Source organism: Homo sapiens, chromosome 16, assembly GCF_000001405.40.
Source record: "Homo sapiens chromosome 16, GRCh38.p14 Primary Assembly".
Taxonomy (NCBI): domain Eukaryota; kingdom Metazoa; phylum Chordata; class Mammalia; order Primates; family Hominidae; genus Homo; species Homo sapiens.
The window spans coordinates 30,441,838-30,469,589 of record NC_000016.10 but is presented as its reverse complement, the minus strand read 5'-3'; the positions used below and the strand labels follow the sequence as shown (position 1 = coordinate 30,469,589).

Sequence of the window (27,752 nt, the reverse complement as noted above, 5' to 3'; positions counted from 1 at the left end):
CTGAATTCTATACTTCTTTTTTTTAAATTTTTGAGACAGGATCTTGTTTTGTCACCCAGGCTGGAGTGCAGTGGTGCAATCATGGCTCACTGCAGCCTCGACTTCCCTGACTCAAGCAATCCTCCCACCTCAGCCTCCCAAGTAGCTGGAACTACAGGTGTGTGCCACCATGCCCAGCTAATTTTTGTATTTTTTGTAGAGACAGGGTTTCACTATGCTGTCTAGGCAGGTCTCAAACTCCTGGGCTCAACTGATCCTCTCTCCTTAGCCTCCCAAAGTGCTGGGATTACAGCCCTGTGCCTGGTGAATTGTATACCTTAGAATGGTGATTTATGGTATGTGAATTGTATCTCAATAAAAAATAAACATGAAATTATATATATGTATATATTTGTTAAATTGGAAAGGATATACAACCATACTTTAAACAGTGGTTAGCTCTGTAAAATGAGATTTATACATTTCTATATGGTCTGCATTTTTTTTTTTACAATGAGGATGTATAACTTTACCACTTAAAAAAATTAGGCGCAGTAGTTCACACGTATAATCCCAGCACTTTGGGAGGCCAAGGTGGGCAGAACCCCTGAGGTCAGGAGTTCGAGACCAGCCTGGCCAACATGGTGAAACTCTGCCTCTACTAAAAATACAAAAATTAGCTGGGCATGGTGGTGCACGCCTGTAATCTCAGCTACTTGGGAGGCTGAGACAGAAGAATAGCTTGAACCCAGGAGGCAGAGGTTGCAGTGAGATGAGATCGCGCCATTGCACTCCAGCCTAGGCAACAGAGCAAGACTCCATCTCAAAAAATAAAAAATAAATAAAAAATAGGCTGGGCACCACGGCTCATGCCTGTAATCCCAGCACTTTGGGAGGCCGTGGCGGGTGGATTACCTGAGGTTGGGAGTTCAAGACCAGCCTGACCAACATGGAGAAACCCCATCTCTACTAAAAATACAAAATTAGCCGGGCGTGGTGGCGCATGCCTGTAATCCCAGCTACTCGGGAGGCTGAGGCAAGAGAATTACTTGAACCCAGGAGGTGGAGCTTGCAGGGAGCCAAGATCACGCCATTGCACTCCAGTCTGGGCAACAGGAGTAAGACTGTCTCAAAAAAAAAAAAATTAAACTACCATTAAAAAACAAAAAATATTGGCCGTGCATGGTGGCTTACACCTGTAATCCCAGCCCTTTGGGAGGTCAAAGTGGGCGGATTGCTTGAGCTCAGGAGTTTGAGACCAGCCTGGGCAACTTAGCAAGACCCTTGTGTCTACTAAAAATAAAAATAAAAAATTAGCCAAGTGTGCTGGTGCACGCACGTAGTCCTAGCTACTCGGGAAACTGAGGTAGGAGGAGCACTTGAGTCCAGGAGGTAGAGGCTGCAGTGAGCTGTGATCAGGCCACTGTCCTGCAGCCTGGGTTACAGAGTGATACCCTATCCTTATACACAAACAAACAAACAAACAAACCAAAACATAAAAATATTTAAAACACAACAGAGTGAAGGAACTATATTCGTTTACAAGAAATTGGGAAGGATCTTCAGACTCTCCCTGTGCGGTGAAGAAATCCCGTTCAACCTGGAAAGATGTCACTGCCCTGAGGAAGCCTTTTTCAGACGGATTATCTATCATCTGTACTGCCAGGCGGCTGGAAAAGGACAAGCTGGCTTGTGGTAATTAGAAGGTATTAGACAGTCTTTTGAAAATTCAGTTAAGATCAGATAATTCAGGCTGATTTCTTTGATTCTCTGTAGAGCAGTTCCAACCAAATTCTTTTGTTTTGCTCTGAAATTACAAAAAGAGTATAAGTTTTTAGATTCAAACACTATGGAATGTGTAAAGAAGGATAAGCATTGTTTTTTTTTTTTTTTTTTGAGACGGAGTCTCGCTCTGTCACCCAGGCTGGAGTGCAGTGGTGTGATCTCAGCTCACTGCAAGCTCCGCCTCCCGGGTTCACACCATTCTCCTGCCTCAGCCTCCCGAGTAGCTGGGACTACAGGTGCCCGCCACCAAGCCCAGCTAATTTTTTGTATTTTTACTAGAGACGGGGTTTCACCATGTTAGCCAGGATGGTCTCGATCTCCTGACCTCGTGATCCACTCACCTCGGCCTCCCCAAGTGCTGGGATTACAGGCGTGAGCCACCGTGCCCGGCCCCAAGCATTGTTTTAGTGTCCACCGCCCATCCCTAAATCCCAAGAGGAATCATTGTTAACAATTGAAGCCATATATTTTTCATGAATAAAAAAAACTTAGGCCAGGCACTGTGGTTCATGCCTGTAATCCCAACACTTTTGGAGGCCGAGGTGGGCGGCTCACCTGAGGTCAGGAGTTCGAGACCAGCCTGGCCAACATGGTGAAACCCCATCTCTACTAAAAATACAAAAATTAGCCAGGCATTGTGGCACGCGCTAATCCCAGCTACTCAGGAGGCTGAGGCAGGAGAATCACATGAACCTGGGAGGCACAGATTGCAGTGAGCCAAGATCAAGCCACTGCACTCTAGCTTGAACAACAGAGGGAGATTCTGTCTCAAAAAAAAAAAAAAAAGAAAGAAAGAAAGAAAAGAAAAAAAATTAGTTCTATTAGTTAACCATACAGGTTTGACCTGTTTGGAAAAACTGTAATTATCTCACCACAGAACATCTGAGAATTAATGGCTAAGTCAGCCATCTCCTGTGTGAAGGTTTTCCCTCAAGCCATCTTCAAAATTTAGACTTGAATTAGGGTTTAATTTTCAGCAGGCAAGCTTATACGTTTTTATCATATTATGTTTTCAGATTTAAAATAAGCAAGGCTGGGCATGGTGGTTCATGCCTGTAATCCCAACACATTGGGAGGCCGAGGCGGGTAGATCACTTGAGGTCAGGAGTTCGAGACCAGCCTGGACAACATGGTAAAACCCTGTCTCTACTAAAAATACAAAAATTAGCTGGGCATGGTGGCACACGCTTGTAATCCCAGCTACTCGGGAGGCTGAGGCACAAGAATCGCTTGAACCTGGGAGGCGGAGATTGCAGTGAGCCAAGATCGCGTCACTGCACTCCAGCCTGGATAACAGAGTGGGACTCTGTCCCAAGAAAGAAAGAAAGAGAGAGAGAGAGAGAGAGAGAGAAAGGAAGGAAAGAAAGAAAGAAAGAAAGAAAGAAAGAAAGAAAGAAAGAAAGAAAGAAAGAAAGAAAGGGAGACAGAGAGAGACAGAGAAAGGAAGAAAGAAAGAAAAAGAGGAAAGAAAGATGAAAGAAAGAAAGATGAAAGGAAGGAAGGAAGGAAAAGAAAGAAAGACAAAGTAGAATGGCAGTTGCTAGGGGCTGGGAGGATCAGTAAACAGCGGGTAGGGATGGGGGTGGGGAAAGCCAGATCATGTCACTTTCTTATTCAGAACCCTCCAGTGTAGCCAGGGGCAGTGGCTCACACCTGTTACTCCAGCACTTTGGGAGGCCGAGGTGGGAGGAGCACCTCAGGCCAGGAATTTGAGACCAGCCTGGGCAATATAGTGAGATCCCCATCTCTACAGTTGAAAGGAAAAATTATAAAAAAGGAAAAAAAAATCCTCCAGTGGCTCCATATTTCACTCAAAATACAAGCCAAAGTTCTCACTGTGGCCTACAGAGATTTAACCCATCAGAGATCTCGTTCTCTCTCTGACTTCATGGCCCTCTGGCCCTCTCCTCACCAGTCACGCTGCTGCCCTGGACTGTGATCATTCCAGCATGCCTGTTCTCTTGCTTGAATGCTCTTTCCCAAGAAAGCCTCATACATGGCCGGGCTCGGTGGCTGATGCCTGTAGTCCCAGCACTTTGGGAGGCCAAGGTGGGCGGATCACAAGGTCAGGAGATCGAGACCATCCTGGCCAACATGATGAAACCCTGTCTCTACTAAAAATACAAAATTTAGCTGGGCATGACTGTGCTTGCCTGTAATCCCAGCTCCTTGGGAGGCTGAGGCAGGAGAATTGCTTGAACCCAGGAGGTGGAGGTTGCAGTGAGCCGAGATCGCACCACTGCACTCTAGCCTGGTGACAATGCTAGACTCCATCTTAAAAAAAAAAAAAAAGAAAGCCTCATACATGGCTTGTACCCTCGTGTCCTTTCAGTCTCTGCTTGAATGTCAGCTTCTCCTTTACATTTATAGCCTCCTTCTGTACTATCTATTTTTTTTTTTTATATGGAGTCTCACTCTTATGCCCAGGCTGGAGTGCAGTGGCATGATCTTGGCTCACTGCCACCTCCACCTCCGGAGTTCAAGCAATTCTCCTACCTCAGCCTCCAGAGCAGCTGGGATTACAGGTGCGCACCACCATGCCTGGCTAATTTTTGTATTTTTAGTAGAGACAGGGTTTCACCATGTTGCCCAGACTGGTCTCGAACTCCTGACCTCAGGTGATCCGCTCGCCTTGGCCTCCCAAAGTGGTGGGACTATAGGCCTGAGCCACTGCGCCTGGCCCTATATGATCTAATTTACTTTGCTGTCCAGTTTATTGTCCATTTTTCCTACTAGAATGTAAACTCCACAGAGGAAGTATTGTTATTATTTGTTTTTCTTCATTGGTCTATCCCCAGGACCTAAAACAGTGCCTGAAGCATAGTAGATGATTAGTAAGTATTACTGAATGAGTAAATGTTTGGGGTTGCCCCTGCCCCTAAGGAGAGTTAAGAGGCTTTTGCTTTTGCTGGGCACAGTGGCTCACCCCTGTAATCCCAGCACTTTGGGAGGCTGAGGCAGGCAGATCATGAGGTCAGGAGTTCAAGACCAGCCTGGCCAACATGGTAAAACTCCATCTCTATTAAAAATACAAAAATTAGCCTGGCGTGGTGGCGGGCGCCTGTAATCCCAGCTACTCGGGAGGCTGAGGCAGGAGAATCACTTGAACCCAGCAGTCTGAGGGTGCAGTGAGCAGAGATCGCGCCACTGCACTCCAGCCTGAGCAACAGAGCAAGACTCTGTCTCAAAAAAAAAAAAAGAGCCTTTTGCTCTTGAAGGTCTAGATTCTTAGAAGCAAAGAGCTGTATTGTCCAAAAGGGATGGGCTGAAGGGGTTGAACGAAGAGGGTTAGGCCGGGCATGGTGGCTCATGCCTGTAATCCCAGCACTTTGGAAGGCCGAGGTGGGCAGATCACCTGAGGTCAGGAGTTCAAGACCAGCCTGGCCTACATAGCAAAACCCCGTCTCTACTAAAACATGTATATAAATTAGCTGGGTATGGTGCTGCGTGGCTGTAATTCCAGCTACTGGGAAGGCTGGGGCAAGAGAATCATTTGAATCAGGAAGCAGAGGTTGCAGTGAGCAGAGATTGCACCACTGCACTCCAGCCTGGGCGACGGAGCAAGACTCCATCCGCCCCCCCGCCAAAGAAAAACAAGAGGGCTAAATTCCCAGAGACTGGGCCTTGAAGAATGCTTCTGGTCCTGCAAGTGAGGGCGATCAATGTCTGTGACTCTCTGTGCTGGAAGAGGCAGTCCTGGAGGGTGATGTGTGGAGGTCTGGAGACAGAATCCCAAACCCCTGGATTTAGAGGCTGCAAGGCGGGTTCCAGTGTCCAATCTGGACATGAAGATATGAAATCCCTTGAGTAGAACCGTTGCTTTAGAATGAAACAGGCAGCTTGGACAATGAGCATCCCCATAGCCACCAAGACAGTGAAAACCAAAAACCCTCCATCTAATTTTTGAAATACATAAATCTCCCAGGACTCTTTAAAGCCAGATTTAGGCTGGGGGTGGTGGCTCACACCTGTAATCCCAGCACTTTCGGAGGCTGAGGTGGGAGGATCACTTGAGCCCAGGAGTTCAACACCAGCCTGGGCAATACAGTGAGACCTCATCTCTATTTTTAAAAATTAAATTAAATTAAAAACTAAAAGCCAGATTTGTTTATGTATCATCTACACTTATTAACATTCACTGTTTAAAAGAGTAGAGTTCATGAGTTTTGACAAATATATACCGTTGATTAACCACTATGACAATCAAGATATAGAATATTTCCATCACACTCAAATGCCCCTTTTTTACTACTTAGTAGTAAATTTCTTCCATTTACCCCAACTCCCTGACAACTATTGATCTGTCTCTTTTCCTACAGTTTTGCTTTTTCAGAATAGCCTAAAAAGGAATCATGTAGGGTCTTAGTCTGTTTTGTGCTGCTCGGACAGAATACCTGAGACTGGGTAATTCATAAAGAACAGAGATTTATTATTTGGCTTATGGTTCTGGAGGCTGGGAATTCCAAGGCTGAAGGACCTGCATCTGGTGAGGGCCTTCTTGCTGTGTCATCCCACAGTAGAAGGTATCACATCACATCTTTTGAAGGAGACAGCATTCCAAACAAAAACGAAAAATAAAAAACAAACAAACAAACAAAAAAAACAAGAGATTGAACTCATAGCATTAAGTCCCGTTTTTTTTTTTTTTTTTTTTTTTTTTGAGACAGAGTCTTGCTCTGTAGCCCAGGCTGGAGTACAGTGGTGTGATCTTGGCTCACCGCAACCTCCGCCTCCCAGGTTCAAGCAGTTCTCTGTCTCAGCCTCCCACCAGTCCCTTTATAATCAGCATTAATCTATTTAGGGAGGCAGAGCCTCCATGACCTAAACACCTCCCATTAGGCCCCACCTCCCAACACTGTTGCATTGGGGATTCTTTTTTTAACACATGCTTTTGGGGGACATCTTCAAACCATGGCGTATAGTCTGTAGCCTTTTGTGCCTGGCTTCATTCACTCAGCATAATGCCATTGAAATTCGTCCATGTTGTTGCATTCTTATTTTTTTGAGACAGAGTTTTGCTCTTGTTGCCCAGGCTGGAGTGGAATGGTGTGGTCTTGGCTCACTGCAAGTTCTACCTCCTGGGTTCAAGCGATTCTCCTGCCTCAGCCTCCCAAGTAGCTGAGATTACAGGCACCCACCACCACGCCCAGCTAATTTTTGTGTTTTTAAGAGAGACAGGGTTTCACCATGTTGGCCAGGCTGGTCTTGAACTCCTGACCTCAGATGATCTGCCCGCCTCGGCCTCTCAGAGTGCTGGGATTACAGGCATGAGCCACTGCACCTAGCTGTTGTTGCAGTTTTATAAAAAAAGTTTTATTTCAAATTTTGTGGGAATGTAGTAGGTATATATATTTATGGGGTACGTGAGATGTTTTGACACAGGTATGCAATGTGAAATAATCACATCATGGAGAATGGGATATCCATCCCTTCAAGCATTTATGCTTTATGTTTTAAACAATCCAATTACACTCTTTCAGTTATATTGAAATGTACAGTTAAGTTATTGTGGACTACAGTCACCCTGTTGTGTTAGCAAATAGTGGGTCTTGTTCATTCTTTTTTTTTTTTTTTTTTTTTGACAGGGTGACAGGGTCTTGTTTCATCACCCAGGCTGCAGTGCAGTGGCACAATCTTGGTTCACTGCAACCTCCTCCTCCTGGATTCAAGTGATTCTCCTGCCTCAGCCTCCCATATAGCTGGGATTACAAGCATCTGCCACTATGCCTGGCTAATTTTTGTATGTTTAGTAGGGATAGGGATTCATTATGTTAGCCAGACTGGTCTGAAACACCTGACCCCAAGTGATCCATCTGCCTTGGCCTCCCGAAGTGCTGGGATTACAGGTGTGAGCCACCACACCCGGCCTGAACCACATTTTCTTTATCCATTCATCTGTTGATAGATACTTAAGTTCCTTCCAAATCTTAGCTATTGGAAACAGTGCTGCAACAAACGTGTGAGTTCACATATCTCTTTGATAGGCTGATTGTCTTTTTTTTTTTTTTTTTTGAGATGGAGTCTCCATCTGTCACCCAGGCTGGAGTGCAATGGCCCAATCTCAGCCCACTGCAACCTCTGCCTCCTGGATTCAAGTGATTCTCCTGCCTCAGCCTTAAGTGATCCGCCTGGCTCAGCCTCCCAGCGTGCTGGGATTACAGGTGTGAGCCACCACGACCGGCCCTGATTGTCTTTCTTTTGGGTATATGCTCTGTATGAGATTGCTGAATCATATGGTAGCTCTATTTTTAGTTTTTGAGGAACCTCCAAACTGTTCTCCATAGTGGTTATACTAATTTATATTCCTGTCTCTACTAAAAATAAAAAATTAAAAAATTCACCAGGCATGGTGGCTCAAGCCTGTAGTCCCAGCTACTTGGGAGGCTGAGGCACGGGTTCAAGTAGAGACATGGTTTCACCATGTTGGTCAGGCTGGTCTCAAACTCCTGACCTCAGGTGATCCGCCCGCCTTGGCCTCCCAAAGTAGTGCTGGGGTTACAGGCATGAGCCACCATGCCAGGCCAAACATGCTTATTATAGATTCTTTTTTTTTTTTTTTTTGAAAGAACAAAACATCTACAGCTCTGCAAAGCTGGTGGGACCTGATGTTTACCTTAATTCTGACTTGAACTGGAAGCATTTTAAGAAAACTTCTCATTGCTTTTCTAACAAACTCCAGCTTATTTTGCCTTTGTTGCTACTTCTAGCTAGATTTCAAACTTGCCTGTGGACTTGACAATGCAAATTGCAATTAATTATTTCTGGAGTCATGGGAACACACAGCATAGAGGGTACGTGGGGCCCCCAGGTGCTGAATCTAGACATCTGTGGGGTCTCCTGAGTTCAGCAGCTGTTGATCCAATGTCAACGTTGACCATCAGGGGAGTGGTTTAAGAGTACCAGGCAAAGGGCAAACTGTAGATCAATCGTTATACTGTTATTACAAGAGAAGTGACATACTTTATATATGTTTATATTAGCAAGGTCTGTTTTTAATACCATATACTTTATATTCTATGCATTTATATTTCTAATAATATGGTTATCACTAATTCATGTAGAGAGTTTTAGAATTTATTAAATCCTTGACTTTGTGCATTATAGCATTCCATTAGCAACAGTTGCGCCCCCTCCCCTTCCCCTTCCTCTCTATTTATTTATTTAATTTTTTTTGAGATAGAGTCTCGCTCTGCCACCCAGGCTGGAGTGCAGTGGCACAATCTCGGCTCACTGCAACCTCCGCCTCCCAGGTTCAAGCGATTCCCCTGCCTCAGCCGCCTGAGTAGCTGGGATTACAGGTGCACACCACCACACCCAGCTAATTTTTGTATTTTTAGTAAAGACAGGGTTTCACCATGTTGGTCAGGCTGGTCTTGAACTTCTGACCTCATGATCCGCCCGCCTCGGCCTCCCAAAGTGCTGGGGATTATAGGTGTGAGCCACCGCACCCGGCAACCCCTTCTCTTTTTAAGCTGTTTTATGCAAAAGATCTAGAAGTCCTTGATTTATTTTTAAATTGATTTATTTATTTATTTTTGAGACGGAGTCTCGCTCTGTCGCCCAGGCTGGAGTGCAGTGACGCGATCTCGGCTCACTGCAAGCTCCGCCCCCCAGGTTCAGGCCATTCTCCTGCCTCAGCCTCCCGAATAGCTGGGACTACAGGCGCCTGCAACCACGCCTGGCTAATTTTTTGTATTTTTAGTAGAGACAGGGTTTCACCATGTTAGCCAGGATGGTCTCGATCTCCTGACCTCGTGATCCGCCCGCCTCGGCCTCCCAAAGTGCTGGGATTACAGGCATGAGCCGCCGTGCCCGGCCGCTTTATTTTTAAATTTTTTAAAGTCCTTGATTTATTTTTATTGTTCTTTCCATAGGTAGAAGAGAAAGTTGATTGGTTGGTTGGTTTTTAATTATGCCATTAAACTAAACATTTCTGTTAAATTACCTTAAGAAAAAAAAAAAAACAACAACAGCAATAACTTGCAGAGCTGCCTCCATTCCTCATGGCCCCTCTAGTCCCAGTCCACATACTTTCCTACTGAACCTTTCTCTCTTTTGGCTTTTACTTATTTTTTTATTTTTATTTCGAGACAGAGTCTCGCTCTGTCACCCAGGCTGGACTGCAGTAGCACGATCTCGGGTCACTGCAAACTCCGCCTCCTGGTTTCAAGCGATTCCCCTGCCTTAGCCTCCCGAGTAGCGCGCACCACCATGCCCAGTTAATTTTTTGTATTTGTAGTAGAGACGGGGTTTCACCATGTTGTCCAGGCTGTTCTCAAACTCCTGACAGGTGATCCACCTGCCTTGGCCTCCTTAAGTGCTGGGATTACAGGCGTGAGCCACCATTCCTGGCCTCTTGTGGCTTTTAAATGAATCAAATGAATAAAATCTTGGGTAAGCCTGGGCAAAATGGCAAAACCCCTTCTCTACGAAGAAAAAAATTTTTTAAATTAGGTGGCTGTGGTGGCATGTGCCTGTGGTCCAGCTACCCAGGAGGCTGAAGTGGGAGGGTCTCCTGAGCCTGCGGTGGTCAAGGCTGTGGTGAGCCGAAATAGCGCCACTGCACCCCCCCGAGTGACAGAATGAGACCTTGCCTCAAAAAAAGAAAAAAAAGTAGAGTAAGCTGGGGTGTGGCAGCAGGAGGCTGCTGGGTACACTTGGGACAAATGGGCCATGGATATGGAGCCGGCAGCAGGGCTCGGGCTGGAGAAATAGGCTAGGGCTTCCCTGCCCCACGCTAGTCCACCAGGCCTGGCTGCCTCCAGTCCCTGGAGGGCTCAGGGCTAAAGGTCTGTCTGCAGCTTCACAGAGGCCTTGCTGGGGAAGGCGCTGCCTCACTGACAGCTACTGCTCTCTGCGCCAGCCTGGCTCCCCACCCACCACTTCCTCCTGGGTGCGTGACAAAGGCCACTTCGGTTAGGATGGCTCTGACAGATGTTTGTGGGTCACCACACTGCTCCTTCCCCTTCTTCCCACCTGCCAAGAGGTTAAGGGGAGGCTGCACCTCAAGCGAGCGGTTTCTAAGGTGGTGGTGGGAGCTTACGATGGGTGGAGCTTGGAGGCCACCATCATATTCCAAGGCCCTTGTGATCTCATGGTAGGTGGGTCTGGGCATTCCAAAGTTCTAGAAACTCAAGGCCGGGCACAGTGGCTCACGCCTGTAGTCCCAGCACTTTGGGAGGCCGAGGCGCGTGGACCATTTGAGGTCAAGAGTTCAAGACCAGCCCGACCGACATTATGAAACCCCGTCTCTACTAAAAATACAAAAAAATTAGCCAGGCGTGGTGGTGGGCACCTATAGTCCCAGGTACTCGGGAGGCTGAGGCAGGAGAATTGCTTGAATCCGGGAGGCAGAGGTTGCAGTGAGCTGAGATCGCGTCACTGCACTACAGCCTCGGTGACAGAGCAAAACTCCGTCTCAAATAAATAAATAAATAAATAAATAAATAAATAAATAAAAACTAAAGTTCTAGAAACTCAACCTGGATTTTCTGAGGAAGGGCTGAGCTGAACGCACCACAGGTAGGATTTTGGAAGGATGGCTTCTCTTGGGGGTGTTCATATGCAGTCCATAGGATCTGTTGTCACTGGGTGAGCTCACTCCAGAGGCTTCATTTCCAGCCTCTAAGTGGATGGTTGATGTGTGTGTGTGTGTTTGTGCGTGTGTGTGTGTGTGTGTGTGTGTGTGTTTGCAAACGAGCATATAGTTGAGGGCCAGAGACCTGGGAACCAGATATGGGCAACACTCTCTTGCCTTTAATGTCGATGAATGGGCTGGGCACGGTGGCTCACACCTGTAATCCCAGCACTTTGAGAGGCTAAGAAAGGCGAATCACCTAGGCCAAAAGTTCGAGACCAGCCTGGCCAGTGTGGTTAAACCCTGTCTCTACTAAAAATACAAAATTAGCTCAGCGTGGTGGCAGATGCCTGTAATCCCAGCTTCTCAGGAGGCTAAGGCATGAGAATCGCTTGAGCCCAGGAGGTGGAGGTTGCAGTGAGCAGAGATCACTTGACTGCATTCCAGCCTGGGCAACAGAGCAAGGCTGTGTCTCAAAATAAAAAACAAAAAACAAACAAATAATGTGGATGAAGGTATTCCTCTCTCTGGGCCTCGGGCCTCCTTCTGTATATATATAGCTCGCACCTCTACAGAACTCACCAACCTGTGAGTTCAAATAGCATCATATTAACTTTCACATACCCATGCTGTGGCCTCATTGCCTCCACCTGCCATTCCAGGTTCCCTAGCTTCCTGCAAACCTGAGTTCTTGCAGAAAGCCTCCAGCACTATCTCACTGGTACTCCACTCCTCTCCCTGGAGTGTGAGCTGCTCCAGGCTTTTGCCCCTTGGCTGCTGTTCTATAGTCTGACCTCAGACACAGCCATTCCCCTTGCTTTTGGCCCTGAGCCCTGGATGTGCCAGGGCTGAAGGAGCTGTGGCAGAGCTGGGGAGAAGGGCTCTCTCTCTGCTTTGCATCATGCAGAAGGTGTCCCAAAGCTATTGCTTGGGCTCCAGGGTGTACAGGCTAGCGAAGTAGCTGTTTCTGTCTTGTTTCTTTGTTTGTTTGTTTGTTTTGAGATGGAGTCTTGCTCTGTCACCCAGACTGGAGTGCAGTGGTGCGGTATCAGTTCACTGCAACCTCAGCCTCCCAGGTTCAAGCAATTCTCCTGTCTCGGCCTCCCGAGTAGCTGGGACTACAGGCATGTGACACCACGCCCTCTAATTTTTGTATTTTCAGAAGAAACAGGGTTTCACCATGTTGGTCGGGCTGGCCTCGAACTCCTGACATCAAGTGATCCGCCTCCCTCAGCCTCCCAAAGTGCTAGAATTACAGGTATGAGCCACCTTGCCCGGCTAGCTCTTTCAGTTTTTACCGATTCTTCTTTCTCTCTCCGTCTGCCTCTTGAACCCAGATTTATATTCAGGGAGGCTGAGCCAGAAACACACTTGAATAATAGCCACCATGCCACAGGCAGTGTCACTACTCCCCAAGGATGACTAAGACTTTGTTCCTTGGCCGGGTGCAGTGGCTCATGCCTGTATTCCCAGGGCTTTGGGAGGCCAAGGTGGGATGGCTTGAAGCCGAGAGCTCAAGACCAGCTTGTGGGCAATGTAGTGAGTCCCCATTTCTACAAAAAATAAAAATATTAGCCAGGCATGGTGGCACACATCTGTAGTCCTAGCAACTCAGGAGGCTGAGATGAGAGGATCCCTTGAGCCCAGGAGCTTGAGGCTGCAGTGAGTGGTGATCCAGCCTGGGCTGAGCAGAGCAAGACCCCATCTCAAAAAAAGAAAAAGAAAAAGAAAGAAAGAAAAAGAAAACAAATCAAACAGAAACCTGTTGCTGACTGATGTGTTTACATGGTGTAAGGAGCTAAAGTGTTTAGGGGAATTCCTACAGCATCTTTCTAATCATCTCCAATAGCACCTCTAATAGCTGAATGATTACGAAGGCCTCCTGCTGGCTTCACTAGCTGCTGGACTCCTCTCAGCCCCTTATGCCACTCCTCCTCCAGCTAAATATTCCTGAAGCTCACTGGGGAGCCGTGGATGACTCCCTTCAAAACCCTGGATGGCTCCCTATTATTTTGGAAGTTCTTGGCCAAAGCTCATACTGTGGCAAGTCGGAGGAGCCCCGGAGAGCTGGCTAGAACTAAAAGAATAATTTGTAGCCGCACATGGTGGCATTCGCCTGCAGTCCCAGCTACTCAGGAGGCTGAGGCAGGAGGATCCCTTGAGCCCAGGAGGCTGAGGCTGCAGGGAACTATAATCATACCACTACACTCCAGCCTGGGTGACAGAGCCAGACCCTGTCTCAAAAAACAAACAAATAACCAAACAAACAATACCCCAATAATTTAAGGGCTATCAAAAAAACCCTTAGAGGAACCCAAAGACATCAGGTCTCCTGGGCGGCTGGAGGAGGCCCCCACATCCCTCCATTCTCCCTCTCTCTACAGGCTACTTTCTCCTCTTCAACACACAGTGAAGATAACTGCCCTTCAGTGGCAACGTCAGTTCCCAACTTTGCATTTACTTAATTGAAAGACCATGGACACCCGGGCGCAGTGGCTCATGCCTGTAATCCCAGCACTTTGGGAGGCCAAGGTGGGTGGATCATTTGAGGTTAGGAGTTTGAGACCAGCCTGGCCAACATGGTGAAACCCCATCTCTACTAAAAATACAAAAATTAGCCAGGGGTGGTGGGCGCCTGTAGTCCCAGCTACTTGGGAGGCTGAGGCAGGAGAATCGCTTGAACCTGGGAGGCGGAGGTTGCAGTGAGCTAAGATCTTGCCACTGCACTGCACTGCACTGCACTCAGGCACTGCCAGTGAGACAGAGCGAGACCCTGTCTCAAAAAAAAAAAAGAAAGAAAGAAAAGAATGACCATGGAGGCTAAAGTCTCAATTTCCACAGTCTTAGGTCTTAGGAGGGAGGATCTCTGATTGGCCCAGCTGGAGTCAAATGTCCATCCTGTGGTAACCTATGGTCAAAGGAACAGGGTCATATCCTACATGCAAACCCAGCACTCGGCCGCCTCATCTGGCTGAGGAAGTAGTTCTTATGTGGAGGTTGTCGTGCTAGGCAGACACAACAAAATTATTTGTCACCTGCGGTAACGTTCAATCTTGTGCCATAGCTTGGCCCAGTCTCTCTCTTTGGCCTCACACCCTGCTTCCCTTCCTCAGTCTCTCTGATCAGCCTGTTCCCTTCGCCTGGAAAACACATCCCCCATCACCACTTGCCAAAATATCCCCAGGCCTCTAAGGCATTGGGCCAACTTCTCCGGGTCACCTTTTATGATACCTTCAACTGTCAGGCCTCTGAGCCCAAGCTAAGCCATCATACCGTGACCTGCACATATACATCCAGATGGCCTGAAGCAACTGAAGATCCACAAAAGAAGTGAAAATAGCCTTAACTGATGACATTCCACCATTGTGATTTGTTTCTGCCCCACCCTAACTGTTCAATGTACTTTGTAATCTCCCCCACCCTTAAGAAGGTACTTTGTAATCTCCCCAACCCTTAAGAAGGTTCTTTGTAATTCTCCCCACCCTTGAGAATGTACTTTGTGAGATCCACCCCTGCCCGCAAAACATGGCTCTTCACCCCCATCCCAAAACCTGTAAGAACTAATGATAATCCACCACCCTTTGTTGACTCTCTTTTCGGACTCAGCCCGCCTGCACCCAGGTGAAATAAACAGCCTTGTTGCTCACACAAAGCCTGTTTGGTGGTTTCTTCACATGGACGCGTGAGACATCAACTAGAAGTGTAGTAATAAAATGTCAGATTTGAAAGGACCCCAAATATCATCTAATCCAACGCTCCCCTGCCTCACACAAGTCCTGTCTCTATTCCCTCTCACTAAGTGTTCAGCCAGCCCTGCTTACGCACCTTCAGACAGGATGCTCACAACTTCCCACAGAGATGCATTGCAGCTCTGCCTATAGGAAATGCTTCCCTGTGACTCCCATGCTGAGAGGTGGCTCTGACCTGTGGAAATGCCCAGGACGAGTCTGTTCCATTCCACACCTGGAAGCTCCTTCAGAAATTTGGACAGGGCTCATGTCACCTCTTAGTCTTCTCTCTTTCTGGCTGAACATCCTTAGTTATAACTAATATTCCCCCATAAGACAAATTCCCAAGTCCTCTGATCACCCCACGGGGAATACCTGCTTCAACTTTTAGGACATCTGATGCCTCAGAATAAAGGCAAAAGGGGCTGGCCCGAGTGCAGTGGTGTTTACAGCGAATTGATCACAACCAGTTACAGATTCCTGTGTCTTTCTCCGCTCCCACTGCTTCACCTGACTAGCCTAAAATCAATCAATCAAGCAATCATTCAATCAATGCAAATGCATGTTCCAGGAAATCTTTTTTTTTTTTTTTTTTTTTAATGCAGGGTCTTATTCTGTCACCCAGGCTGGAGTGCAGTGGCACAATCTTGGTTCACTGCAGTGATCCTCCCACCTCAGCCTCCCAAGTAGCTGGGACCACAGGCATGTATCACATGCCCAGCTAATTTTATTTTTTGTAGAGACAGGGGTCTAGCCATGTTGCCCAGGGTGGTCTCAAACTCCTAAGCTCAAGCAATCCTCCCATCTCAGTCTTCTAAAGTGTTGGGATTACTTGGCATGAACCACCACACCTGACCAAGGAAATCTTTTAATTAAAAAAAAAGAGGAAGAAGACAAGACAAATGAAATATCCAACAATAAGTTGGTTAAATCAATTAAATATATCAATTTCATAGAATATTATCCATCCTTTAACAAAATATCGACTGGGCACAGTGGTTCATGCCTGTAATCCCAACACTTTGGGAGGCCAAAGTGAGCAGTTCGCCTGAGCCCAGGAGTTTGAAACCAGCTTCCGCAACGTGACAAAACCCCATCTTTGCAAAAGATACAAAAATTAGCTGGGTATGGTGGTGCATGCCTGTGGTTCCAGCTACTCGGGGAAAGGGAGGAGACCTCCCCTTATATTATCTTATGCCCAATTTCTGCCTCCAAAGAAAGAAAAAGTAAAAACTAAAAGGCAGAAATGAAATCCACAAGCAGACAGCCCGGCACCACACCCTGGGCCTGGTAGTTAAAGATCAACCCCTGACCTAATCGGTTATGTTATCTATATATTACAGACATTCTATAGAAAAGCACTGTGAAAATCCTTATCCTGTTTTGTTCCGATCTAATTACCGGTGCATGCAGCCCCCAGTCACATACCCCCTGCTTGCTCAATCGATCACGACCTTCTCACGCACACCCCCTTAGAGTTGTGAGCCCTTAAAAGGGACAGGAATTGCTCACTCGGGGAGCTTGGCTCTTGAGACAGGAGTCTTGCCGATGCCCCCCAGCCGAATAAACCCCTTCCTTCTTTAACTCGGTGTCTGAGGAGTTTTGTCTGTGGCTCGTCCTGCTACAGGGAGGCTGACGTGGGAGGATCATTTCAGCCCAGGAGGCGGAGGTTGCAGTGAGCTGAGGTCACGCCACTGCCCTCCAGCCTGGGCAACAAAACCAGACCCTGTCCCCAAAATAAAAAGGTAGATTTACATGTGCTAGCATAGAAAGATTGTTATGATAATGTAAGCAGAAAAAAATCAAGATACAAAACAGTGTGTGTCACATCTCGTTTATCTGTTAGGCAGGAAATCTGTTTTTTCTCAGCCTCTCACTTCCACATCTCTGCCTACTAAACATTTGTTAGGTATACTTTAAAACAAATTGGTGTGAGGAACTCTGCACAGTTATTTCTAGATTTTAGAGATGTCTTATTTATAGAGCGCAGAAGAGATGAGGTTTTGGGAACCTTCCATGTGCAATGATATTGATATTGATATTGATATTGATATACACAGTCGTCCCTCCCATATCAATGGTGGATTGATTCCAGGAAGCCCTGCAAATAACAAGTTCCACAGATGCTCAAGCCCCTTATATAAAATGGCATAGTATTTGTATGTAATCTACACACATCATTTCTAGATTACTTATAATACCTAATACAATGTAAATGGCATGTAAATCATTGGAACACTGTATTGTTTAGAAAATAATTACAAGAAAAAAGTCTGTACATGTTCAGTGCAGAGGTAACCATTCATTCTTCCTTTTATAATCATTTTCAATGCATGATTTGTTGAATGCACGGACATGAAACTCACAGATACAAAGGGCTGGCTGTGTATATATCTCCATAATGTTTGTTTTCAAATAAAGAGCACATATTACTTTTAAAATAAAAAAAATTAATAACGGATTTGAGATAAGCTTGGCATGGTGGGAAGATAAGGCAGGAGGATTGCTTGAGCCCAGGAGTTCCAGGCTGCAGTGAACTGTGATTGCACCACTGCACTCCAGCCCGGGTGAGTGCAGCATGGGTGAGAGACTTAATCTCTTTTTTAAAAAATTAATTGGCTGGGTGCGGTGGCTCATGCCTATAATCCTAGCACTTTGGGAGGCCGAGGCAGGCGGATCACCTGAGGTCAGGAGTTTGAGACCAGCCTGGCCAACATGGCGAAACCCTGTCTCTATTAAAAATACAAAAATTAGCTGGGCGAGGTGGCAGGCGCCTGTAATCCCAGCTACTCAGGAGGCTGAGGCAGGAGAATTACTTGAACCCAGGAGGTAGAGGTTGCAGTGAGCCGAGATCATGCCATTGCACTCCAGACTGGGCTACAGAGCAAGACTCCGTCTAAAAAAAAAAATAATAATAATAATAATTAATTTTTGGCCAGACGCGGTAGTTCACGGCTGTAATCCCAGCACTTTGGGAGGCCGAGGCTGGCGGATCACTTGAGGTCAGGAGTTCGAGACCAACCTGGACAACATGATGAAACCCCATCTCTACTAAAAATAGTCCCAGCTACTGGGGAGACTGAGGCGGGAGAATCGCTTGAACCTGGGAGGCGGAGGTTGCAGTGAGCCGAGATCGTGCCACTGCACTCCAGCCTGGGCGACAGAGCGAGACTCCGTCTCAAAAAAAAAAAAAAAAAAAAAAAGACATTCTTTGTACCAGACCCCATGCTAAGCCTTGGGCACATGGAGACCAGTGAAGCGGGGTTCCAGCTGTAGGGCTCACAGGTGTCACAGAAAACCCAGAATGGTAAATGCTAGAACAGAGGAAAGACCAGGGTATGAGATCACAGAGGAGAGACTTCCTCTTGAAGATAATAGTGTTTCTTGGGCAGAGAAACAGCCATTCCAAAGGGCAATTGAGAGCAGCACTGTGTTGCCTGGGCTGGAGTGCAGTGGCCATTCACAGGTGCCATCATAGCACACCATGGCCTTGAAGTCCTGGACTCCAGTGATCCTCCTGCCTCAGCCTCCCAACTAGCTGGGACTACAGGCTTGCCCCACCAGGCATAGCTCTCTTGCTTTTTTGGCAAGAGATGATGCACTAGGCCTTCTCACATTTGCCCCAGATACAAAGATGAAGCTTTCTGTCACTTGGGATGGTGGCAGCTGATGAAGGTGTGAGGGTGGTGGCCATAGGTGTCATCTCTCAAGTCTTCTGAGGCAGAGCCTGCTACTCTTAAGTCCCACAGGCAAGTCCAGGGGAAGTGGGGCTTGGGAACTGAGGCCATGCCGGGCCTGGGTCAGGGTCAGGGCGAGGTCAGGGACCGGCAATGGGGGCACTCATTCAGATGCTGAGCCAAGGTAGTGCAGGCTCAGACTGTGGGAAGGACACTTCAGAGGTTCCAAACCTCTTGAATTTTTTTTTTTTTTTGAGACGGAATTTTGCTCTTGTTGCCCAGGCTGGAGTGCAGTAGCATGATCTTGGCTCACTGCTGTGAGACAATTTTGTCTGTTGTGTTCACTGCTGTATCCCCGGGTCTAGCACAGTGGCTGGCACAGAGGAGGTCTTCAGTAAGTATTTGTGAATGAACCCAGGGAGTGTTGAGCATCTATAACCAGGTATCTCAGGTAATTTTTAACCATTATTTTATTTCTTACTAGAAAAAATGATGCTGGCCGCGGTGGCTCACATCTGTAACCCCAGCACTTTCGGAGGCCAAGGTGGGCGGATCACCTGAGGTCAGGAGTTCGAGACCAGCCTGGCCAACATGGTGAAACCCCATCTCTACTAAAAATACAAAAAATTAGCTGGGCATGGTGGCAGGCACCTGTAATCCCAGCTACTCAGGAGGCTGAGACAGGAGAATCGCTTGAACTTGGGGCGCGGAGGTTGCAGTGAGTCAAAATTGTGCCACTGCACTCCAACCTGGGCGACAGAGTGGGACTCCGTCTCACCAAAAAATAATAAAATAAATAAATAAATGAGATTATCCCATTTTTGCTAATTTAAAAAAAAACATACATACACAGCACACAGGGCAGGGTTCCCCACAGGGCGGAGGGTGACAGGGCGCCCCCTGGAGGGTGATGCGTGTAGGTGGAAAATGTTTAAAACACCATCCATTAAGGTATCCCAAGGATTTCTCTTTGGGAAATGGGATTTCAAGTCGTTTTAACATTCCTCCTTTTTACGAAGCTGTATTTTGTGATTTTTCTACAATGACAACAGAATGATTTTACAATAAGAAAAAAAATGGGGCCGGGTGTTGTAGTTCACACCTGTAATCCCAGCATTTTGGGAGGCTCAGGTGAGTGGATCATTTGAGCCCAGGAGTTGGAGATCAGCCTGGGAAACATATCAAGACCCTATCTCTACAAAAATTTAGCAGGAGTGGTGGTGTGCACCTGTAGTCCCAGCTACTTGGGAGGCTGGGGTGGGAGGATTGCTTGAGCCCAGGAGGTCAAGGCTGCAGTGAGCTATGATTAAACCACTGCACTCCAGCTGGGGTGACACAGCAAGACCCTGTCTCAAAAAAAAAAAGGGGGAAATGGGAATAGTGTACTAAAGGTATGTATATTTTACCACAGTAAAAAATAAGAATTTTTTAGATGTACTGATCCTTCAAGTGTAGTGTTATAACCCCAAATGATTATCACAATTGGGCCACATACCTGACCCAAATGCTGTTGTTGTATGTGAAAAGCAAACCAGGGGCTAGGACTCCAATCCTGTTATTCTTTTCCCAACCTGGAGTGCAGTGGCGCAATCCATAGCTTACTGTCACCTTGAACTTGAACTCCCAGGCTCAAGCGAGGTCTTCTTGTTCTTTTTTTTTTTTTGAGATGGAGTCTCACTCTGGCACCCAGACTGGAGTGCATTGGTGCGATCTCTGCTCACTGCAACCTTCGCCTCCTGGGTTCAAGTTATCCTCCTGCCTCAGCCTCTTGAGTAGCTGAAATTACAGGCATGCACCACCATGCCCGGCTAATTTTTGTATTTTTAGTAGAGACAGGGTTTCGCCATATTGGCTAGGCTGGTCTCGAACTCTTGACCTCAGGTGATCCGCTCACATTGGCCTCCCAAAGTACTGGTATTACAGGCGTGAGCCACTGCGCTCGGCCACAAATAGTAAAACATAGCTCAATGGATCTCTCAGTGAGAAATAAGAAAAGAACAAAAGGAATGCTTCCAGGTGCTGAGGCTGCAGCCCTCAGGGTCACCCTTGAGAGGCCCCTATGGGTCACCTGCACAGAGGCACATGCATGTGTCATTCTGAGCACAGCAGGTTGGTCACTGGCCAAGGCAAATTCGTGACTTTCTTTGCACTGGCCCAAGTGAATATTGCTCCAAGTAGAAGCAACAGGGAACTGTATGGATGAAAACCTTCCCCCAAAGACCTCTGCTTCCTAGAAGGGCATGGAGTAGAGGTTATGAGTATTATCAAGGAGGCCCCTCAGCCAGGTGCAGTGGCTCATGCCTGTAATCCCAGCACTTTGGGAGGCTGAGGCAGGAGGATCACCTGAGGTCAGGAGTTCGAGACCAGCCTGGCCAACATGGTGAAACCCCATCTCTACTAAAAATACAAAAATTAGGCAGGCATGGTGGCAGGTGCCTATAATCCCAGCTACTCGGGAGGCTGAGGCAGGAGAATCGCTTGAACCTGGGAGGCAGAGGTTGCAGTGAGCTGAGGTCAAGCCACTGCACTCCAGCCTGGGTGACAAAAGCAAAACTCTGTCTCAAAACAAAACAAAACAAACAAACAGAAACAACAGAGCAGCCCCTGCTCTGCAGAGCTTACAAACGAGGGGGCCAGACAGATAGGCATGGCATTATCACATGATTAAAGAATTACAGGGCCAGGCGCGGTGGCTCATGCCTGTAATCCCAGAACTTTGGGAGGCCGAAGGGGGCGGATCATGAGGTCAAGAGATCAAGACCATTCTGGCCAACATGGTGAAACCCTGTCTCACTAAAAATACAAAACATTCGTTGGTTGTGGTGGCGGGTGCCTGTAATCCCAGCTACTTGGGAGGCTGAGGAAGGAGAACTGCTTGAACCCGGGAGGTGGAGGTTGCAGTGAGCCGAGATCGCACCACTGCATTCCAGCCCGGGTGACAGTGCGAGACTCCATTTCAAAAAACAAACAAACAAAAAAAAGAATTGCAAATTGTACTAAGTGCAGAGAGGGAGAAGTCCAAAGAACTAAGAGAATGTATAACCAGCACCACCTGACCTAGTCACTTTTTAACTCAGGTGAGGTGATTACAGACATAATACAATGTTTTCCTCTTTCCCTTAGAGATATGAGGATCCTTTCCCTGTACAATAGGCTTAACATTTTGCAAAACACTTTTCAGCTGAGGTTTCCTATGGCCCTTCCACTAGATCCTAAGCAGAGATTGTGACCCTGGTTTAACAGAAGAGAAGACTAAGGTGCAGAGAGGCTAGATCACTTCCTCAAGGTCAGCCAGCTCACTGACAGCAATGCAGACATCATACAAGGTCTTTTGCTTTCACTGTATTTTCCCACTCCATCATGCTTTCTTTTTGCATGTTTTTTAAATTCTGAAATATAGCATACCTACAAAAATAGTGTGGGAAAATATCTATGTGCAGTTTTTTTTTTTTTTTTTTTTGAGACAGAGTCTCGCTCTTTCACCCAGGCTGGAGTGCAGTGGTGCAGTCTTGGCTCACTGCAACCTCTGCCTCCCAAGTTCAAGCAATTCTCCTGCCTCAGCCTCCCGAGTAGCTGGGATTATAGGCGCTCACCACCATGCCCGGCTAATTTTTGTATTTTTAGTAGAAACGGGGTTTCACCATATAGATCAAGCTGGCCTCGATCTCCCAACCTCGTGATCCACCCGCCTCGGCCTCCCAAAGTACTGGGATTACAGGTGTGAGCCACTGTGCCCGGCCCCGAAAATATCTATGTACAGTTTAAAGAACAACCATGTACCACGTACCCACCACCAGCCCAATGAACAGAATTAAACATAGCCCAGAAGCTCCCTATGTAGCCCTCCCTAGACATAGCCCCTATGCTGAGTCTTCTATTCATTTTCTTGTCTTTTAAAAAAGTTTTTATTGGCTGGGTGTGGTGGCTTATGCCTGTAATCCCAGCACTTTGGGAGGCCGAGGCCAGCAGATCACTTGAGGTCAGGAGTTTGAGACCAGCCTGGCCAACGTGGTGAAATCCCGTCTGTACTAAAAACGCAAAAATAAGCCGGGTGTGGTGGCGCACACCTGTAATCCCAGCTATTCAGGAGGCTGAAGCAGGAGAATCACTTGAACCTGGGAGGTGGAGTTTTTAATAGATATTGGCAAACTGCCCTTCATGGCTATATAAGATATATATATATATTTATTTACAGAGATATAGGAATTTTAGAATAGACCAGTCCTATGTAACCCACTCTGTTCCACAGATGGATGAGTCAACCGACGCGGAGAGTGACTCCACACAAAGCTGGTGGGAAACACCATTAGAATCCATGCAGGTGTCTGGACTTCCAGTCCTAAATCTCTCTTTTTGTGTGTGTCTGTGTGTGTGGGGGGGGTGTTTGTTTGTTTGTTATTGTTGTTTGTTTTAGAGACAGGTTCTTGCTCTGTCGCCCAGACTAGAGTGCAGTGGCGCGGACGCAGCTCACTGCAGCCTCGACCTCCTGAGTCCTAGAGTTCTTGAAGTTCCTGTTAACATTTCATTATATTGATGCTGCCTGCAGTTTGCTAACTTAATGGTAGTAGTTTAATTTCTAATTTCTCATGCTTTCTGTTTTTTCCCTTGGGCTATTTTGCCATCCTGGATCGATCATGTGCGCTGTCAAGTGACCTTTGGGACAATCCTGCCGATCATGAGGTTTGCCGAGTGACCAATCTTCCCTCGTCTACAATTTGCTGGACTTGGAAAAGTGACTGGAAGGGAGCAGAGTTCCGTCAGCCACTGCCAAGAAACCATTTAAATTACTAAGAGAGCGAAGGAAAGCACGTGACGTTCTGCAATCCCGTTGCAAGCGGTTTTGCAAGCCGGAGGTTGTTGCACCTTTTAGAGTCTAGGAAGCCCGCCTCTCGGTGGCGGAGTCGTCATTGGATGTTGCGGCTGTCAATCGCCAGGGCTATAAATAAGGGAGTCCGGCGGCTCCTCTATCAGGAAGATTGTGCATGCCGTGGGTCTGACGGCTTGAGTAGCGCTAGGGAGAATCCCTGCAGGTAATATTTGACTTTTGCTTCATATTAATCTGAGTGGAAAATAAAAGGGCCCTCTTCTCCTCTCGCTTCCCTGCCGGGCAGGCGCCATGGCGGAAGCCTCGGCGACGGGCGCCTGCGGAGAGGCGATGGCAGCGGCGGAAGGCTCCTCGGGCCCGGCGGGCTTGACTCTGGGCCGGAGCTTCTCGAACTACCGGCCCTTCGAGCCCCAGGCGTTGGGCCTCAGCCCGAGCTGGCGGCTGACGGGCTTCTCCGGCATGAAGGGCTGAGGCTGCAAGGTCCCGCAGGAGGCGCTGCTCAAACTCCTGGCGGGACTGACGCGGCCGGACGTGCGGCCCCCGCTGGGCCGGGGCCTGGTGGGTGGCCAGGAAGAGGCGTCCCAGGAAGCCGGCCTGCCGGCAGGAGCGGGCCCCAGCCCCACCTTTCCAGCCCTGGGCATCGGGATGGACTCCTGCGTCATCCCCCTGAGGCACGGGGGCCTGTCACTGGTGCAGACCACGGACTTCTTTTACCCCTTGGTAGAAGATCCCTACATGATGGGGCGCATAGCTTGTGCCAACGTGCTGAGTGACCTCTACGCCATGGGGATTACTGAGTGTGACAACATGTTGATGTTACTCAGCGTCAGCCAGAGTATGAGTGAGGAGGAACGCGAAAAGGTAACGCCACTCATGGTCAAAGGCTTTCGGGATGCGGCTGAGGAAGGAGGGACGGCAGTGACCGGTGGGCAAACGGTGGTCAACCCTTGGATTATAATCGGTGGAGTTGCCACTGTAGTATGCCAACCAAATGAGTTCATAATGCCGGACAGCGCCGTCGTTGGGGACGTGCTGGTGTTAACCAAACCGTTAGGAACCCAGGTTGCTGTCAATGCCCACCAATGGCTGGATAATCCTGAAAGATGGAATAAAGTAAAGATGGTGGTCTCCAGAGAAGAGGTGGAGCTGGCCTATCAGGAAGCCATGTTCAATATGGCTACCCTCAACAGAACTGCTGCAGGTTTAATGCACACATTTAATGCCCATGCGGCCACAGATATCACAGGCTTTGGCATTCTAGGACACTCCCAGAACCTTGCAAAACAACAAAGAAATGAAGTGTCCTTTGTTATTCATAATCTGCCAATAATTGCCAAGATGGCTGCCGTCAGCAAGGCCAGTGGACGGTTTGGGCTTCTTCAAGGAACCTCAGCTGAAACCTCTGGGGGATTACTGATTTGTCTGCCAAGAGAACAGGCGGCTCGCTTTTGTTCTGAAATCAAATCCTCCAAGTACGGAGAGGGTCACCAAGCGTGGATCGTTGGCATTGTGGAAAAGGGAAACCGAACGGCCCGGATCATTGACAAGCCGCGAGTTATTGAAGTCCTGCCTCGTGGGGCCACAGCTGCTGTTCTTGCTCCTGACAGTTCAAATGCCTCCTCTGAGCCTAGCTCGTGAGATGAAAGAACAGAAGTTGTTTGGACCTTAGAGCCATTGTCCACAATCACGGATGGTTCTCAAGAGTTGATTGTAAGAAATTTCCAAAGAAGGCTGCCTGCATAGTGGTTCCGGCTGCCCTTTCTAGGTGATTGGAATCAGCCCATCTAAAGCAGTCTTTATATGCATTCCGAGGCCAGAGTAACATTTTGAACTTTGGGGGGATATTTGTTCATCACTTGGGTAGAAGAGGAGCAAAAATACCTCTGTTTTCTCTTGCCAAAGTAAGATGAAGCTATTCCAGGTTGAGGGATTTTTCTTTGCACGGGGTTGATTAATTTCTGCACAGGGAGTGAGATTATTAAAGTAACACACACACAAAGTAAATTGCAAAATGAAAAAAATTAGAAGCAAATGAGTTTTGGACCAATATTGTTGATAAATCTAAATTGTTAAGAGAGATCTTATAATGCAACATCAAATTCTTTATTCAATTTTACTGAAGTACTGGCTCTTTCCTGCTCTGGACAAGAATTGAGCAACTTGTCTGATGACTGGGAAAGGAGGACCTGCAACCATCTGACTTGGTCTCTGTTAATGACGTCTCTCCCTCTAAACCCCATTAAGGACTGGGAGAGGCAGAGCAAGCCTCAGAGCCCAGGCCTCAGTGGTCATTAAGATGTTAAGTCTTTTGCGGCAGATTCCTGGTGATTTGATCAATAAAGAGTAATTTCTTGCTAAATAAATAAAAGAAACCTTGTTGAAAAACTATTCTGGCTAATGTTTGGTGGTTTGAAATTCAATACAGTCTTATAAAACGAACCAGCTTATACACTGAGTCTGGTATAGCAGAGAGAGAGTGTTTTCCCTGATGCTGGTGAATTGGGTAATTTAACACCCAGATTTAGGGTTGCACCTTCCCCCTGAAATGACAGAAAAGGACTCGAAGCAGGCATACGCCCCAAGGGTTAGAGAGTGGGCAGGAAATAGCAAAAGAAAGGTGTCAACAATTCTTGAAAGATGGAAAGGAGGTGGAAGAGGGGTAACTGACTTAAAGGAATCCTTCATAGTAGGGGAAGACAAGAAGCAAGAAGATGTGCTTGGAAGATGGGGTAAGACCTGGGGATAAAACATACTGTTTGAGAGTTTATACACGGTAATTCGATCTTTAGCGTTCTCCACACTCTTATTTCACACAGCCAGGTGACTGCCTCTCACCTACGCAGGTAGAGTTGGGAGCACCACACACAGCAGAGGATAGGGAGCCTAACTGAAAAAATAAAAATTTAAAATGAGACTGCCCAGCCCCCTTCCTCAATTAGATATTCAAAATACTGGCCAGGCCAGCACGGTGGCTCACGCCTGTAATCCCAGCACTTTGGGAGGCCGAGGCGGGCAGATCATGAGGTCAGGAGGTTGAGACCATCCTGGCTAACAAGATGAAACCCCATCTCTACTAAAAATACAAAAAATTAGCTGGGCGTGGTGGCGGGCGCCTGTAGTCCCAGCTACTGGGAAGGCTGAGGTGGGAGAATGGCGTGAACCTGGGAGGCAGAGCTTGCAGTGAGCCGAGATTGCACCACTGCACTCCAGTCCGGGCAGCAGAGCGAGACTCCATCTCAAAACAAACAAACAAAAAACTGGCCAGGCCAGGCCCAGTGGCTCACGCCTATAATCCCAGCACTTTGGGAGGCCGAGGTGGGCAGATCTCTTAAGCTCAGGAGTTTGAGTTCAGCCTGGCCAATATGGCAAAACTCCGTCTCTACTAAAACAAAAAAAAATACAAAAATACCCAGGTGTGATGGCGTGCCCCTGTAGTCCCAGCTACTCGGGAGGCTGAGGTGGGAGAACCTTGAACCCGCAAGGCAGAGGTTGCAGTGTGCAAACACTGCAGTCCAGCCTGGGCGACGGGAGTGAAACCCTGTCTCAAAAAAAATAAATAAAAGCCCAAAATCACTCTACCACAAGGCCTCCTAGGTGAAAGCCTTTATTGAATGATGTTAAGCTTTTTTTTTTTTTTTTCCGGACAAAGTCTCACTCTGTTGCCCAGGCTGGAGTGCAGTGGTTCGATCTCAGCTCACTGCAACCTCCGCCTCCCAGGTTCAAGCGATTCTTCTGCCTCAGCCTCCCGAGTAGCTGAGATTACAGGTGTGCACCACCACGCCCGGTGAATTTTGTGTTTTTAGTAGAAAATGTGGTTTCACCATGTTGGCCAGGCTGGTCTCCAACTCCTAACCTGAAGCAATTTACCCGCCTCAGCCTCCTGAAGTGCTGGGATTACAGGCATGAGCCACCGCGCCCAGCTAATGTTAAGCTTTTTAATGCCTCATTCTTAAATATGAGCAGTCAAGGATCACCAAGCATGTGAGGAGAGCCTCCAACTTAAACAGAAAAAGGAAACTCAGAGGGACAATACAGGGAGTAGGAAAAAAGATAAAAAATATCCGCAAAGCAATACTTAAGAGAACCAGCCACTTAGAATATAAAGATAAAGCTAAAACTTGAAATTTTTAATAGGGGGCTGGGTGCAGTGGCTCACATCTGTAATCCCAGCATTTTGGGAG

The 27,752-nt window shown here is 47.4% G+C and overlaps 1 protein-coding gene across 1 annotated transcript, besides 18 other annotated features; it reads left to right on the top strand.

The window, feature by feature from the left end:
- Nucleotides 9,539-10,941: a transcriptional cis regulatory region, noted in NCBI's record as "chr16:30469970-30471372 region (GRCh37/hg19 assembly coordinates) targeted for CRISPR interference". NCBI's record gives its function as "positively regulates ITGAL gene expression in GM12878 lymphoblastoid cells {active_cell/tissue: GM12878}" and the evidence as "EXISTENCE:mutant phenotype evidence [ECO:0000015][PMID:33828297]".
- Nucleotides 9,539-11,063: a biological region, named in NCBI's record as "H3K4me1 hESC enhancers GRCh37_chr16:30469848-30470348 and GRCh37_chr16:30470349-30470849". NCBI's record gives its function as "regulatory_interactions: ITGAL | SEPHS2".
- Nucleotides 10,062-10,562: an enhancer, noted in NCBI's record as "H3K4me1 hESC enhancer chr16:30470349-30470849 (GRCh37/hg19 assembly coordinates)". NCBI's record gives its function as "activates a minimal SCP1, AML or CMV promoter by ChIP-STARR-seq in primed H9 embryonic stem cells {active_cell/tissue: H9 hESC(primed)}" and the evidence as "EXISTENCE:reporter gene assay evidence [ECO:0000049][PMID:30033119]".
- Nucleotides 10,138-10,307: an enhancer, noted in NCBI's record as "active region_10705". NCBI's record gives its function as "activates an Ori minimal core promoter by ATAC-STARR-seq in GM12878 lymphoblastoid cells {active_cell/tissue: GM12878}" and the evidence as "EXISTENCE:reporter gene assay evidence [ECO:0000049][PMID:35858748]".
- Nucleotides 10,403-10,903: a transcriptional cis regulatory region, noted in NCBI's record as "chr16:30470008-30470508 region (GRCh37/hg19 assembly coordinates) targeted for CRISPR interference". NCBI's record gives its function as "positively regulates SEPHS2 gene expression in THP-1 monocytic cells {active_cell/tissue: THP-1}" and the evidence as "EXISTENCE:mutant phenotype evidence [ECO:0000015][PMID:33828297]".
- Nucleotides 10,408-10,908: a transcriptional cis regulatory region, noted in NCBI's record as "chr16:30470003-30470503 region (GRCh37/hg19 assembly coordinates) targeted for CRISPR interference". NCBI's record gives its function as "positively regulates SEPHS2 gene expression in LPS-stimulated THP-1 monocytic cells {active_cell/tissue: THP-1(+LPS for 4hr)}" and the evidence as "EXISTENCE:mutant phenotype evidence [ECO:0000015][PMID:33828297]".
- Nucleotides 10,431-10,931: a transcriptional cis regulatory region, noted in NCBI's record as "chr16:30469980-30470480 region (GRCh37/hg19 assembly coordinates) targeted for CRISPR interference". NCBI's record gives its function as "positively regulates ITGAL gene expression in anti-CD3- and PMA-stimulated Jurkat T cells {active_cell/tissue: Jurkat(+anti-CD3 and PMA for 4hr)}" and the evidence as "EXISTENCE:mutant phenotype evidence [ECO:0000015][PMID:33828297]".
- Nucleotides 10,438-10,517: an enhancer, noted in NCBI's record as "active region_10704". NCBI's record gives its function as "activates an Ori minimal core promoter by ATAC-STARR-seq in GM12878 lymphoblastoid cells {active_cell/tissue: GM12878}" and the evidence as "EXISTENCE:reporter gene assay evidence [ECO:0000049][PMID:35858748]".
- Nucleotides 10,448-10,948: a transcriptional cis regulatory region, noted in NCBI's record as "chr16:30469963-30470463 region (GRCh37/hg19 assembly coordinates) targeted for CRISPR interference". NCBI's record gives its function as "positively regulates ITGAL and SEPHS2 gene expression in Jurkat T cells {active_cell/tissue: Jurkat}" and the evidence as "EXISTENCE:mutant phenotype evidence [ECO:0000015][PMID:33828297]".
- Nucleotides 10,528-10,757: an enhancer, noted in NCBI's record as "active region_10703". NCBI's record gives its function as "activates an Ori minimal core promoter by ATAC-STARR-seq in GM12878 lymphoblastoid cells {active_cell/tissue: GM12878}" and the evidence as "EXISTENCE:reporter gene assay evidence [ECO:0000049][PMID:35858748]".
- Nucleotides 10,563-11,063: an enhancer, noted in NCBI's record as "H3K4me1 hESC enhancer chr16:30469848-30470348 (GRCh37/hg19 assembly coordinates)". NCBI's record gives its function as "activates a minimal SCP1, AML or CMV promoter by ChIP-STARR-seq in primed H9 embryonic stem cells {active_cell/tissue: H9 hESC(primed)}" and the evidence as "EXISTENCE:reporter gene assay evidence [ECO:0000049][PMID:30033119]".
- Nucleotides 11,865-12,364: an enhancer, noted in NCBI's record as "H3K4me1 hESC enhancer chr16:30468547-30469046 (GRCh37/hg19 assembly coordinates)". NCBI's record gives its function as "activates a minimal SCP1, AML or CMV promoter by ChIP-STARR-seq in primed H9 embryonic stem cells {active_cell/tissue: H9 hESC(primed)}" and the evidence as "EXISTENCE:reporter gene assay evidence [ECO:0000049][PMID:30033119]".
- Nucleotides 12,365-12,866: an enhancer, noted in NCBI's record as "H3K4me1 hESC enhancer chr16:30468045-30468546 (GRCh37/hg19 assembly coordinates)". NCBI's record gives its function as "activates a minimal SCP1, AML or CMV promoter by ChIP-STARR-seq in primed H9 embryonic stem cells {active_cell/tissue: H9 hESC(primed)}" and the evidence as "EXISTENCE:reporter gene assay evidence [ECO:0000049][PMID:30033119]".
- Nucleotides 14,735-15,404: an enhancer, noted in NCBI's record as "H3K27ac hESC enhancer chr16:30465507-30466176 (GRCh37/hg19 assembly coordinates)". NCBI's record gives its function as "activates a minimal SCP1, AML or CMV promoter by ChIP-STARR-seq in primed H9 embryonic stem cells {active_cell/tissue: H9 hESC(primed)}" and the evidence as "EXISTENCE:reporter gene assay evidence [ECO:0000049][PMID:30033119]".
- Nucleotides 19,528-19,822: an enhancer, noted in NCBI's record as "tiled region #3639; K562 Activating DNase unmatched - State 12:CtcfO". NCBI's record gives its function as "activates a minimal TATA promoter and a strong SV40 promoter by Sharpr-MPRA in K562 cells {active_cell/tissue: K562}" and the evidence as "EXISTENCE:reporter gene assay evidence [ECO:0000049][PMID:27701403]".
- Nucleotides 23,578-24,524: an enhancer, noted in NCBI's record as "H3K27ac hESC enhancer chr16:30456387-30457333 (GRCh37/hg19 assembly coordinates)". NCBI's record gives its function as "activates a minimal SCP1, AML or CMV promoter by ChIP-STARR-seq in primed H9 embryonic stem cells {active_cell/tissue: H9 hESC(primed)}" and the evidence as "EXISTENCE:reporter gene assay evidence [ECO:0000049][PMID:30033119]".
- Nucleotides 23,716-25,959, top strand: SEPHS2 (selenophosphate synthetase 2). Its single transcript, NM_012248.4, has one exon. The coding sequence runs from the start codon at nt 23,863-23,865 to the stop codon at nt 25,207-25,209; it is 1,347 nt and encodes a 448-aa protein (NP_036380.2). The 5' UTR covers nt 23,716-23,862; the 3' UTR covers nt 25,210-25,959.
- Nucleotides 24,132-24,251: a silencer, noted in NCBI's record as "silent region_7374". NCBI's record gives its function as "represses an Ori minimal core promoter by ATAC-STARR-seq in GM12878 lymphoblastoid cells {active_cell/tissue: GM12878}" and the evidence as "EXISTENCE:reporter gene assay evidence [ECO:0000049][PMID:35858748]".
- Nucleotides 26,968-27,262: an enhancer, noted in NCBI's record as "tiled region #2626; HepG2 Activating DNase matched - State 5:Enh". NCBI's record gives its function as "activates a minimal TATA promoter and a strong SV40 promoter by Sharpr-MPRA in HepG2 cells {active_cell/tissue: HepG2}" and the evidence as "EXISTENCE:reporter gene assay evidence [ECO:0000049][PMID:27701403]".